The sequence below is a fragment of the Homo sapiens genome, chromosome 2 (assembly GCF_000001405.40).
Source record: "Homo sapiens chromosome 2, GRCh38.p14 Primary Assembly".
In the NCBI taxonomy this organism is placed as follows: Eukaryota; Metazoa; Chordata; class Mammalia; order Primates; family Hominidae; genus Homo; species Homo sapiens.
The window spans coordinates 236,428,832-236,442,147 of NC_000002.12; the positions used below are offsets into that span (position 1 = coordinate 236,428,832).

Here is a 13,316-nt window from a genome sequence, read left to right on the forward strand (position 1 = left end):
TGATTTCATTAACTAGTTTATTTGTATTGTCTTGTAATTTGCTGAGCTTCTTTAGAATACTTATTTTGAATTCTCTGTCATGTAATTCATGGATCTCCAATTCTTTAGGGTCAGTTACTGAAAGTTTATTGTGTTCCGTTGGTGGTATCATGTTTCCCTGATTCTTCATATAGTCTTATAAATGAGTCTGCAAATTTCAAGAAGTAGTCACCTCTTCCAGACTTTATGGACTGGCTTTGGTAAGGAAAGACCTTCACCTGTGGGCAGCAGGGTGGGGGGACAGAGGCATGCTGGGGGCACTGTAGCATCAGGTCTGGTGTTGTGAGGTACCAAGTGTTGGGGTATGTGGTGGCTCCGAATCTGGGGGAGCGTTCAGTCTTGCCATTTCAGGCAGCTGGAGTCTGTGATGTTGGCACCTGCTTAGTCCTTTGTGGCTGGGGTCAGCTGCAGGTGCACATGTGGCACTGGGGGCCAGCAGCTTGCATATGCATAATTGCAGAGGCCAGCTGCAGGTCATCAACACCATCTGCATGCATGGGCATCTTTAGGCTGAGCTGGAGGGGTGCATGCACATGTAGCTACAGGGACCAGCTCTGGGAACAAGCACAGTGTGGGGATAGTTGCTGGAGGGCATGGCCAACTGGTTATGCTCATCTAGTTGTGGGGGCCAGGCTAGCAGCTACTGCAATAGCCTGGCTACAGGAGTCAGCCTTGGGTGCATGCAGTGGTGGGGTTGGAGTCTGTGGTAGGGGGCTCCAAGGCTGTTTTCTGGCATGCATGCAGTAGGTGCTCTGGGTCCCTGGCCCAGAGAACCTGTGGAGGCAGTAGCTGGGGTGGTTTCAAGGAGATGTGGTGATTTAGGCACCTAGGGAACACGAGGGCCACTTGGGTGGGTCGGTGGGCTGTGCTCACTGTGGCAGGAGCAGTCATGTGGCTCTGGGTGGCTCCAGTGGGGGACAGGTAGGAGACTCAGGCACCTGGAGACTGTGAAGGTGAAAAGAAATGCAGTGTCCTCAGTGGTGAAAGCTGAAGGGGGTCCCCTGCTTCTGTGCAGGCAGTTGGTTTCCTCAGCTATGAAAACTGTAGGATCCTCTGCAGAATATGCTGTTGGGGTTCATGATAACAAACCCTGAGGGGTCCTCTGTGGTGAAAGCTGCAGGTGGTTGTGTGGTGGTCTTGAGTTCCTCAGCAGGGCTGTTGAGTTCCTCAGCAGGGGTCTGCTGGAGTCCTGGGCTAAGCAGGCCACTGGGGTTTGTGGTGACTTCCAGTGTGTGGCTGATCATAATACACTTGCTAAAAAGTCAACCCAAATACTTTGGATATGCTTCTAAAGACATTTTATATACATATATGCGAATATACATATAACACACACACACACACACACACACACAGAGCACACTGGCATTGTTGTGTTATGTTTGCCAATTGTATAGGTGAAAAGTAATATGTCATTGAAGTTGTCTCTTTTTTAAACCAATACAAAATTTATTTTACCTGCACTCTTCAGTTATAGCAAAATCTTCCAAGTGCACAGAGATGTACACAGGTATACACACAAATGCACATTATAAACATCAACTTGTCATTTTATACAAATGTTAGCGTATTATACATACTGTTCTTGTTCTGCGTTTTTCACCTAATAATATATCTTGGCCATCTTTCCTTAGTGGTACATACAGAACTTCACGGTTCATTTTTCACAGGTGTATTGTAACAATTTATTTGGCCATTCCCCTACCAAATAAGATTGAGGTTATTTCTAATAGTAATCTGCTACTACTAACATTGTTGCCATGAATAAATGCATGCAAATATCATTTTGCAGGTGGTGAACATATCTGCAGGATAAATTCCTTAAAGTGGAAATGCTGGATCAAGTGTATGCACATTTGTAATACTGTTAAACTTCCCACCATGGGTTGTGTCAATTTACCCTTCTGCCAGCAGTGTAGGAGTGGCCTGTTTCCCCATATGCTTGTTGTCACAGTGCATCTTGTTTGCCAGTTGCATGGGTGGAAAATGTAGTCGCTTTTGTTTTTTCAAGAAGCCAATATTGAATTTATTTTGCTCCTGCTCATCAACTTGAGCAAAATCTTCCGAAGTTAAAAGTGCACTTTACTGGCTATTAAGTCAGCCATCATTTTTTTGGGCTCAGGGCCAAATCTGGCCTGGTGCCTGTTTTCTCTTTTCAAAATATAATTTTATTGAAGCATATCATATACTCACCCATTTCAAGTGTGCAATTCAATAATTTTTCAGCAAGTATATCAAGTTGTGTTCCACTACCACAAATCAGTTTTAGAACATTTCTATCACCCCAATAAGATTCTCTCATTTCCATTAACTGCTAATCCCTTTTCTCTCTCCTTCCCAGGTGTATTAGTCCATTCTCATGCTGGTATGAAGAAATATCCAACACTGAGTAATTTATAAAGTAAAGAGGTTTACTTGACTCACAGTTCCACATGGCTGGGAAGGCCTCAGGAAACTTACAATCATGGTGGAAGGGGAAGCAAACACGTCCTTCTTCACATGGCAACAGGAGAGAGAAGTGCCGAGCAAAGGAGGAAAAGCCCCTTATAAAGTCATCAAATCTTGTGAGAACTCACTCACTGTCATGAGAACAGCCTGAGGGTCACTGCCTGCATGGTTCAATTACCTCCTAACAGGTCCATCCCACAACAAATGGGCAACATGGGAACTGGTATTCAAGTTGAGATTTGGGTGGGAACACAACCAAAGCACATCACCAAGCAAGCACTAATCTACTTTCTGTGTCTACAGGTTTACTTTTTCTAGACATTTCATATAAATGGAATAACAAAATACATTGTCCATAGTGTCTGGCTTCTTTCATGTTGCATAATGTTTCAGTATGGCATAACACTTTAAGTTCATCCATGTTGTAGCATGTATCAGTTGTGTGTTCCTTTTTAATTGCCAAATAATATAAAGTTGCATGGATATACCATATTTTACCTATCTATTCCCCAGTTGATATGTATTTAAGCTGTTTCAAATTTTTGGCAATTATGAGTAATGCTGCTATGAACATTCATGTACAAATGTTTTTGTGTGGATATATGTTTTCATTTCTGTTGGATAGAGTCCTAAGAGAAGAATTGCTAGGTCCTTTGGTAAATTTATGTTTAACTTTTTAAGAAATTGGCATGATGTTTTCCAAAGTGGCAACATTTTACATTCCCACTAGCAATGTATGTGGGTTCCCTTTTCTCCACATCTTCAGCATTTGTAATTGTCTTTTTTTTTGTATCCATCCTCATGGGTGTGAAATAGCATTACATTTCCATTTTAATTTTCATTACCCTAATGATGAATAATGTTGAACATCTTTTCATGTTCTTACTAGCCATCCATACATCTTCCTTTGTGAATTGTCTGTTCAAATCTTTTGCCTGTTTTTTGACTGAATTGTTTGTCTTCTTATTGAGGTGTAAGAGTACTCTGTATTTTCTGGCTGTAAGTCCTTTAACAGGTAGGTATTCTGTAAATATTTTCTCCCAGTCTGTTACTTGTATCTTCATTTTCTTAATGGTATCTTTTGAAGTGCAAAAGTTTTGCATTTTGTTGAGGTTCAGTTGATCAATTTTGTTTGTCAGTGTAGTTTTAATTTGCATTTCTCTTATATGTGTGAGGTTGATCATCTTTTCATATGTTGAACATCTTTTATTATGTTTCGAATTCATTTGAGTTTTCTTTTCTGAGCACTGTCTATTCATATCCTTTTGCTGTTTTTTGTATTGGGTTATTATTCTTTTTCTTGTAGAGCTGTAGGAGTTCCTTACATATTAGAAGAAAGGACTCTTGTCTGTGATACCCATCACAAATAATTCTCTCAGGGTGTCATCTGTCATTTCCCTTACTCAGGGGTCATTGTTTCCATGTAGGATTAAAACAATTTTGTGTGTGTGGTTGAATTTATCAATTTTTTTTTCTGCTATGATTTCTGGGTTTGTATCATAATTAGAAAGATCTTTCCCATTCTGAGGTTATGACATATTTCTTTCTTAGCTTCTTCTAGTCCTTTTGTGTTTTGTTTTGTTTTATACGTAAGTGTTTGATCCTTTTGGAATCATTCCAAAGTAAAGTATAAAGACTTGGGAATTTAATTTTCTTTTTTCTTAGATGACAACCTGGCTCTTCTTATACCATTTATTTCCTTTTTTCCTTTCACATTTGAGATGCTGTCTTTATTATAAATTTCCGTATGTATTTGGGTCTATTTCTTGATTTTCTGTTCTTTTCCATTGATGTGCCTTTTTAGTCTTTTGTCTGTGCCAGTGGGCTCCTAAGAATATGTTTTCATACCTGGCAAAGCTAGTTCCTCCTCACTATGCTTCATTTTCAGAATTCCACTGGTTATTCTTGGTTATTTGCTTTCTACTTAAAGTTTAGTTTGGTCATCCTCCCTGCCTCCTCCCCGCCAATGCCCCAATATAATGCTATTGGTATTTTCATTTGGATCATATTATGTCTATAGATGATGTTTAGGAGTCAAGGTATGTATGGTGTGAGCATTCCTACCTACGAGCATGATATGCTTTTCCATTTCTTCGCATCCCTCAGGAGTGTTGTAAGCTTTTCTTCACGTAGAATGTACATTTATCATTAAGCTTATTCCTGGGCATTTGACCTTTGCATTGTTGCTGTTGTAAATGGTCTCTTACATTACATTTTCTAGCTAGCTACTGTTTGCATGCACAACAGCGATTGCTTTCTGCATGTTAATTTTGTAATCCCCCCATCTTGCTTCTCATATTATTTAAAGTAGTTTTTTAGTTTATTCTCTTTGCTTTTTTGCTCTTTAGTTTATTCTCTTTGCTTTTCTAAGTATTGAACATATGTGCAAAAGGTGATCATTTGCCTCTTCTGTTCCCCTTTAGAACACTAGAAAGGGGATATATTATTTAGTAGTTCCTACAGGACAATGGTAAATAATAGTGGTGATGATGGCCATTCTTGAATTTTTCCTGACACTCACTAGTGGAAATGTTTCTAGTGAATTTCTTTAAGCATGACACTGGGTTTTGAATTAAGAAATATTTTATAATGTTCAACAAGTATCCATCTATTCCAATTTTGTAGAGTTCTATTTTTAAATATCAAAAATGGATGTTAAATTTGTAAAATGCCTTTGCAGCCTCCATAGTGAGGAGCTTATGGTTTTCCCTTTTGGATTTTTTAATACGATGCGGTGCATTCATAGACATCCTTAACCCAAACCATTCTTGCATCCTGGAATAATCACCACTTGTGGTGTTTTACTAATTTAATGTGGTGCTGGTTTTAGTGTGCTAACACGTTAGTTAAAATGTTTGTGTTAATACTCATAAGGGAGACTGATCTGTGTCTTTTTTTGTGTTCAATCTTTTTTGGGGGTTTTGATTCAATGTTATGCTCGTTTCATAAAAAGTATTTGTATTATTTTTGTTTTATTAATATATATTTCACCTTGTATGTATATTGTTATAATGACAATGCTTGGCCTATTCTCTATTCATACTATGACTACAATGACTACTATTACTGCTACTGTCAACGTTAGTAACAACTGCTACGATTTTCTGAAGGGTTTCAATATGCCAAGCTCTGTTCTAAGTACCTCACGTGTATTGTCTCATCTAATTATTACCTCAGTGCAGGGAGGTAGACGTTGCTAGTAATCTCCATTTATAGATGAGAAAACTGAATCGGAGTGTGGGGGGATGAAGCTTGTCTAAGGTTGCAGGTCTAGTGTGTGGGGGAACTGTGATTTGTAATCACCATGCCGTTCTGACTCTTCAATCATCTGTCTTTCAAGGCTAAGCTGCTTTGTGGTCTCCTCTGTTCTCTTTCAATGTGTTAACCAGACATTCTCAATTTTCTTTTGACTAGTATTTTTTAATGTTTCTCATGGCAATTTAGATGTTCTACCAACATTCTTAATCCTATAATCGCTACCTTTCTAACTGAACATAAAATGTGTCTGGATGCTTGCCATGGACTTTCAAGACACAACTTGTGCCTGGCAATTTAGCTGGCGGGACAACACCTAAACACATAAAAAAAGTGAAACAACCCCAAATCAAAATGACAATCACTCAAGGCAGGGCTTGACAAACTGCCAAATAATAGGGTCAATATTTGGTGCTCATGGAATTCAGTGAAGGAGGGAGGAGTCCTCTAGAGGGCTGAGGCAGCCTTTGGGAGCAGAGGCTGGTTTCTGATGGAGAAGTGAAGAAAGAGCAATTCCTGTGTGCTTAACTCTGAGGGCTCTTGGAGGGGAGCACAGGGACACAGGGAGGCTGACAGCAGGGTCAGTCATGCTGAAGTCCTGAAACCCCGAGCTAAAGCCTGTATTTTACTGCTGCAGAGAACTTCATGTTACTTAACGAATTTCCTGTTAAAGAACATCAGGCTGTTTTCTTCTTTGTCAATGCAATAAACAAGGCAGACGTGAACAGCATCCATGGCAGGGGTCAGCAAATTATGGCACATGGGCCGGCTCTGGCCGGCCGCCTGCCCATTTTTGAAATGAAGTGTGATTGGAACACAGCCATGCCCATCATTTACATGTTGTCTATGGCTTCTCTGATGCCGGTATTAGTCCATTCTCACATTGCTATAAAGAACTGCCTGAGACTGGGTAATTTATAAAGAAAAAGGGTTTAATTGACTCACAGTTCCACATGGCTGGGGAGGCATCGGGAAACTTACAATCATGGTGGAAGGGAAAGCAAGCATGTCTTACATGGTGGTAGGAGAGAGAAAAAGAGAGAGCACAAAGGGGAAAATGCCCCCTTACAAAACCATCAGATCTTGTGAGAACTCAGGATCACAAGAACAGTCTGGGGGAAACCACCCCAATCAGGTCTCTCCCTTGACATGTGGGGATTTGAGATGAGATTTGGGTGGGGATACAGACAAAGCATATTAATGCCATATTGGTAGAGTTGAGTAGTGCCAGCAGAGAATGTATGTGCCACAGCCTAAAATATTTACTGTTTGTCCTTTTACAAAAAAAGGATGTTGACCTCTGGCCTATGACAACTTCTGTTATTATTATTTATTTAGTATAAATTCCTCAAAGAGCATTTATGAGCCAAAGCACATACACATGAAAAGTTTTGATATTTGTTTGATCCACGTCACTTAAAAATGTCATGCTAATTTACATATCCAGTAGCAATGTATGAGAGTGACTTTTTCCCACATGCACACCAACTCCAGTCATTACAATGACTTAAAATTTTTACCAGTCCTATAGGTGAAAACAGATATGGCAACATTACTTTATACATGTAATTGCCAGTGAGTTTTAAAAATTTTTCTTGTGTTAAATTCCTGTTTATATTCTTTGCTTTTTTATCAGGGTGTTCCAATTTTTGTTATTATTTTCCGAGAAATATTTATATATGAAAAATACCCATTGTCATACATGTTGCAAATGTTTTTCCTCAGTTATCATATACCTTGAACTTCATTTGTGATTTTTTTTGGCCATTTTGCTATTTGAGTTTTGTGTAGTTAAGTATATGAGCAGATTCTCTTCATGTTATTTGCCTATGGTGACATGTTTATGAAATTTTTCTCCAATTCAAACAATTTCTTTAGTAATTTGTGGTTTAACATTTTTACATGTAAATATTTAATTCATCTGAAATTTGTTTTGTATAATAAGGAAGGCTCTACTTGATTTTGCCAAATGGTGAGCCAGTTATTATTTATTAAATAATATTATTTATTAGTCTGTCCTTCCCCATTTATTTGGAATGTCATCAGTATACTACTGAATTCTGATATATGTACCTGACTAAGTTTCTGAGCACACTATTTTAAAGTCAGACTCCTTGAGTATGAACCTCAGCTCCACAACTAATTTGGCCAAATTTTTGATCTTCATAGTTTGGAAGAATTAAATGAGTTGACTTATATAAAGTGCTTGCATGGTACCTGGCACAGAATATTTGTCCAACAAATGTTATCTGTTATTTTTGTTGTTATCTGTCTATTCATTTTCCAACATTGTGGTATTTTGGCTACTTTATATCTTTATAATTTGTTTTATATCAATATGGAAAGTTCCCTATTATAGCTTTTTTAAAAATTTATTATTATTATACTTTAAATTTTAGGGGACATGTGCACAATGTGCAGGTTAGTTACATATGTATACATGTGCCATGCTGGTGTGCTGCACCCACTAACTCATCATCTAGCATTAGGTATATCTCCCAATGCTATCCCTCCCCCCTCCCCCCACCCCACAACAGTCCCCAGAGTGTGATGTTCCCCTTCCTCTGTCCATGTGTTCTCATTGTTCAATTCCCACCTATGAGTGAGAATATGCGGTGTTTGGTTTTTTGTTCTTGCGATAGTTTACTGAGAATGATGATTTCCAATTTCATCCATGTCCCTACAAAGGACATGAACTCATCATTTTTTATGGCTGCATAGTATTCCATGGTGTATATGTGCCACATTTTCTTAATCCAGTCTATCATTGTTGGACATTTGGGTTGGTTCCAAGTCTTTGCTATTGTGAATAATGCCACAATAAACATACGTGTGCATGTATCTTTATAGCAGCATGATTTATAGTCCTTTGGGTATATACCCAGTAATGGGATGGCTGGGTCAAATGGTATTTCTAGTTCTAGATCCCTGAGGCATCGCCACACTGACTTCCACAATGGTTGAACTAGTTTACAGTCCCACCAACAGTGTAAAAGTGTTCCTATTTCTCCACATCCTCTCCAGCACCTGTTGTTGCCTGACTTTTTAATGATTGCCATTCTAACTGGTGTGAGATGGTATCTCATTGTGGTTTTGATTTGCATTTCTCTGATGGCCAGTGATGCTGAGCATTTTTTCATGTGTTTTTTGGCTGCATAAATGTCTTCTTTTGAGAAGTGTCTGTTCATATCCTTTGCCCACTTTTTGATGGGGTCGTTTGTTTTTTTCTTGTAAATTTGTTTGAGTTCATTGTAGATTCTGGATATTAGCCCTTTGTCAGATGAGTAGGTTGCGAAAATTTTCTCCCATTTTGTAGGTTGCCTGTTCACTCTGGTGGTAGTTTCTTTTGCTGTGCAGAAGCTCTTTAGTTTAATTAGATCCCATTTGTCAATTTTGGCTTTGGTTGCCATTGCTTTTGGTGTTTTAGACATGAAGTCCTTGCCCATGCCTATGTCCTGAATGGTAATGCCTAGGTTTTCTTCTAGGGTTTTTATGGTTTTAGATCTAACGTTTAAGTCTTTAATCCATCTTGAATTGATTTTTGTATAAGGTGTAAGGAAGGGATCCAGTTTCAGCTTTCTACATATGGCTAGCCAGTTTTCCCAGCACCATTTATTAAAAAGGGAATCCTTTCCCCATTGCTTGTTTTTCTCAGGTTTGTCAAAGATCAGATAGTTGTAGATATGCGGCGTTATTTCTGAGGGCTCTGTTCTGTTCCATTGATCTATATCTCTGTTTTGGTACCAGTACCATGCTGTTTTGGTTACTGTAGCCTTGTAGTATAGTTTGAAGTCAGGTAGCGTGATGCCTCCAGCTTTGTTCTTTTGGCTTAGGATTGACTTGGCGATGTGGGCTCTTTTTTGGTTCCATATGAACTTTAAAGTAGTTTTTTCCAATTCTGTGAAGAAAGTCATTGGTAGCTTGATGGGGATGGCATTGAATCTGTAAATTACTTTGGGCAGTATGGCCATTTTCACGATATTGATTCTTCCTACCCATGAGCATGGAATGTTCTTCCATTTGTTTGTATCCTCTTTTATTTCCTTGAGCAGTGGTTTATAGTTCTCCTTGAAGAGGTCCTTCACATCCCTTGTAAGTTAACAAGGATACCCAGGAATTGAACTCAGCTCTGCACCAAGCGGACCTAATAGACATCTACAGAACTCTCCACCCCAAATCAACAGAATATACATTTTTTTCAGCACCACACCACACCTATTCCAAAATTGACCACATACTGGGAAGTAAAGCTCTCCTCAGCGAACGTAAAAGAACAGAAATTATAACAAACTATCTCTCAGACCACAGTGCAATCAAACTAGAACTCAGGATTAAGAATCTCACTCAAAACCGCTCAACTACATGGAAACTGAACAACCTGCTCCTGAATGACTACTGGGTACATAACGAAATGAAGGCAGAAATAAAGATGTTCTTTGAAACCAACGAGAACAAAGACACAACATACCAGAATCTCTGGGACGCATTCAAAGCAGTGTGTAGAGGGAAATTTATAGCAGTAAATGCCCACAAGAGAAAGCAGGAAAGATCCAAAATTGACACCCTAACATCACAATTAAAAGAACTAGAAAAGCAAGAGCAAACACATTCAAAAGCTAGCAGAAGGCAAGAAATAACTAAAATCAGAGCAGAACTGAAGGAAATAGAGACACAAAAAACCCTTCAAAACATTAATGAATCCAGGAGCTGTTTTTTTGAAAGGATCAACAAAATTGATAGACCTCTAGCAGACTATTATAGTTTTTTAAAAAAACTTTTGGGATATTTCCATGCATTCATTCTTCAGATACTTGAAAATAATTATGTCAATAAAAACTTGTTTTGATTTTAATTGGAATTGCATTAACTTCATAGAATAATAAAAAGATAGTGTGTATTTGTACTTTATTGAGTCTTTTTATCCAGATAAATAATTGTTCAGTCTATCATTCAAGTCTTCTTTCATTTTCTTCAGTGAGATTTTGTCAGTGTAATTCTGTACAATCCTGTATAATTTGTCAATATAATTTCTTGTTAAATGTATTGGGTTTCCTAGGGAGATAATTACATCATGATCTTAAAACAATGATAAAATTATCACTTTAAAATATTTATCACTTCTTTCCTTTTTCTTATTTGTTTGGCATTTTTTATAATGTCCAGGGAAATATTCACCAATCGTTCTGATAGCAACTATTCTTTCTTGATCTTGACATTTTTTTCCAACAGATTTAACCTAACAATTTTATTTCCTTAAAAAAGAAAACGTTTTTAATTTAATTTAAAAAATTAGAGACTATGTTCTCATGGCTGTAAAACTAGTATTATCATTATTAAGAAAAACTAAATAAATATTGAGCACTTACTATGCACTCAATTCTGTGATTTTAAAGAATCGTAAAATATGGTTCTTGCCCTCAGAAGGTTTATAATCTCATGGAGAAGATAAGCCTTCTGTTCTTTTGTTCAGCAAATATTTGTTGAATGTTTATATATGCAAATTAAAAGTCCTTCCTCTTGAGAAGTTGACAGGCTAAGGAAGAGATAAAGCATGCACATGAATGTTATGATACAAGCTTGTAAATGGTGAACCAGTTTAATAGAAATTCAAATAAAATGCTGTATGTTTGAAGGCCCCCTACATTAAAAGAAAGGTGTCCATGTGAAGTAGCGTAGGGTAAATGTCAAATGAATGATGTTAATAGCGCAGGGCTTTAGAGGAAGGGTTAGTCACCCAGGTTGTGGGCAGTTGGGGAAAATTTTACTCAGGAGATAAGACAAATTGCCCTTATTGATTTTCATTTTGACAATGCCTCTAATGCCTCATCATTGAGTATAATGCAAATCTTCTCTTGGTTTCTATGCTAAATACTGTGAAGCTAAGAAGAGTTTTCCTATTCCTAGTTTATGAAGACATTAAAAAAATAGTTTTAAATGTCAATTTCATCAAATGCCACTGAAGCATCTATAGAGATGATCAAAGGTGTTTCACTCGAAAAAAGGCAAGGAGCTGGGTCTTGACAGCGGAGCAGGAGCTAAGCAGAAAGGCACCCAGAACTCAGGAAGAGCATGGCACACCCAAAGGAGCAGTGGCATGAGCCAGAAGCACAGGTGAGTAGGCTGCTGGAGCCAAGGGCCTGCTGAGGAGGTGGGGCTTGGAGATGAGGGGAGAGGGAAGCTGGGACCAGAACACAAAGGGCTCCTGCAGCCAAGCTACTCAGAATTTACTAAGAAAACGACCTTCACACATCATCACATCTCTTTCAAAGGTAAGACGGGAAAAAAAAATGAACTCATTTTGAATAAATATGAAAGTGTGTACAATGATGAACACCCAAAAGTATTTCCATGTAAATATTTGTAGGAAAATAACCAAGACCTAATAACGCTATAAACTCATTAATTTTAAAGTTTAAAGAAATGTCATTTGATATATTTACATTTTATTTCTCAAGCATATTTGTACCTGTTGTATGGTCTTGTCAGAAAAAATAATAGCTGACCCTCCTTCTTCAACGTCAGGGTAGTCAGGAAATGTCCCGGTTAAATTTCTGCAGGAAAAAAAATAGCAAATTAAAATGGAAATGAAGTCCTCTCTTGTTATATACCCCATTTATTTGCTTATGTTCATTTAAATGAGTGATGGTCATTAAGGGTGGAGGGTTCCCTGTAGATCAAGGGCTGGGCATGGTGTCTTGAAGAAACTGAAGGTACTGATTACATTCAGTAGCAGGTTTCCTTCCTCTAGAGAATTGTTAGTCTGATGCAAACATCTCTCTTTAAAACATATTGTACTTTTTTTCCTCCTTTTTTTTTTTAATGTTGAGATGCTCTGTGTTTAAGAATGAAGACAGAAGCACAAATAATTTCTTCCTGTTTAAAATTGAGGATAAACACAGGATTTCAAACTAAACGAAGGATGGAGTTGTGGAAATTACACAGTTAGTAATAATTGTGAAATATACACCCATGCTTTAGGTTTTAGTTAAATCTGAGGCCCTATGTTTTATGGGTTGCAAATAGTATTATTTTTCCATAATCACATAATTTCTACATTTTAATAAAGCAGACTTTGAAATTTAATGTTGAGAATTTCAGAAGGGGTAGACAGATAGTATTCTTAAAAGAAGTTGACTTTGACATGAATGTTATATTTATTGTACGTAAGACTATCTGCCAAGTTAGTTCCATTAATTCACAGAAGTACAGAATCTGAGGTTTAGAGGTGACCACCATGTTTAAAATGGCCCTTAAAAAACTGGTTCCCAAACTTTTGGCCTCAGAAGCCCTTTATATTCTTATTAATTTTTGAGGATCCCAAAGAGTTTTTGCTAGATGACTTACAGCTATCAATAATTTACTGTGTTAAATATTAAATCTGGCTGGGCGCAGTGTTTCACGCCTATAATCCCAACACTTTGGAAGGCTGAGGTGGGAGGATCACTTGAGTCCAGGAATTTGAGGCTGAAGTGAGCCATGACTACACCAGTGCACTCCAGACTGGGTGATAGAACAAGATCCTATCTCCAAAATAAACAAATAATTAAAGCTTAGAAATGTATAAAATATATATT

General features: G+C 37.7%; 1 protein-coding gene across 10 annotated transcripts in view, besides 2 other annotated features; it reads right to left on the reverse strand.

The window, feature by feature from the left end:
- The window catches only part of DRC11 (dynein regulatory complex subunit 11), a 200,792-nt gene that overhangs the window by 122,147 nt on the left and 65,329 nt on the right, over nt 1-13,316 (reverse strand). For all 10 annotated transcript variants that reach the window (XR_007081589.1, NR_073043.2, NM_001270584.2 and 7 more), the window contains exon 7: nt 12,209-12,293. Coding sequence is in view for 8 of the 10 variants with exons in the window: in NM_001270584.2 (NP_001257513.1) it covers nt 12,209-12,293 (85 nt within the window). In the remaining 2 variants the exon portion in view is untranslated. The remainder of the gene's footprint in view (nt 1-12,208; nt 12,294-13,316) is intronic.
- Nucleotides 639-1,138: an enhancer, noted in NCBI's record as "H3K4me1 hESC enhancer chr2:237338113-237338612 (GRCh37/hg19 assembly coordinates)". NCBI's record gives its function as "activates a minimal SCP1, AML or CMV promoter by ChIP-STARR-seq in naive H9 embryonic stem cells {active_cell/tissue: H9 hESC(naive)}" and the evidence as "EXISTENCE:reporter gene assay evidence [ECO:0000049][PMID:30033119]".
- Nucleotides 11,073-12,272: an enhancer, noted in NCBI's record as "P300/CBP strongly-dependent group 1 enhancer chr2:237348547-237349746 (GRCh37/hg19 assembly coordinates)". NCBI's record gives its function as "activates an origin of replication core promoter dependent on BRD2, BRD4, P300/CBP, MED14 and CDK7 cofactors, with strong dependence on P300/CBP, by STARR-seq in HCT116 cells {active_cell/tissue: HCT116}" and the evidence as "EXISTENCE:reporter gene assay evidence [ECO:0000049][PMID:35650434]".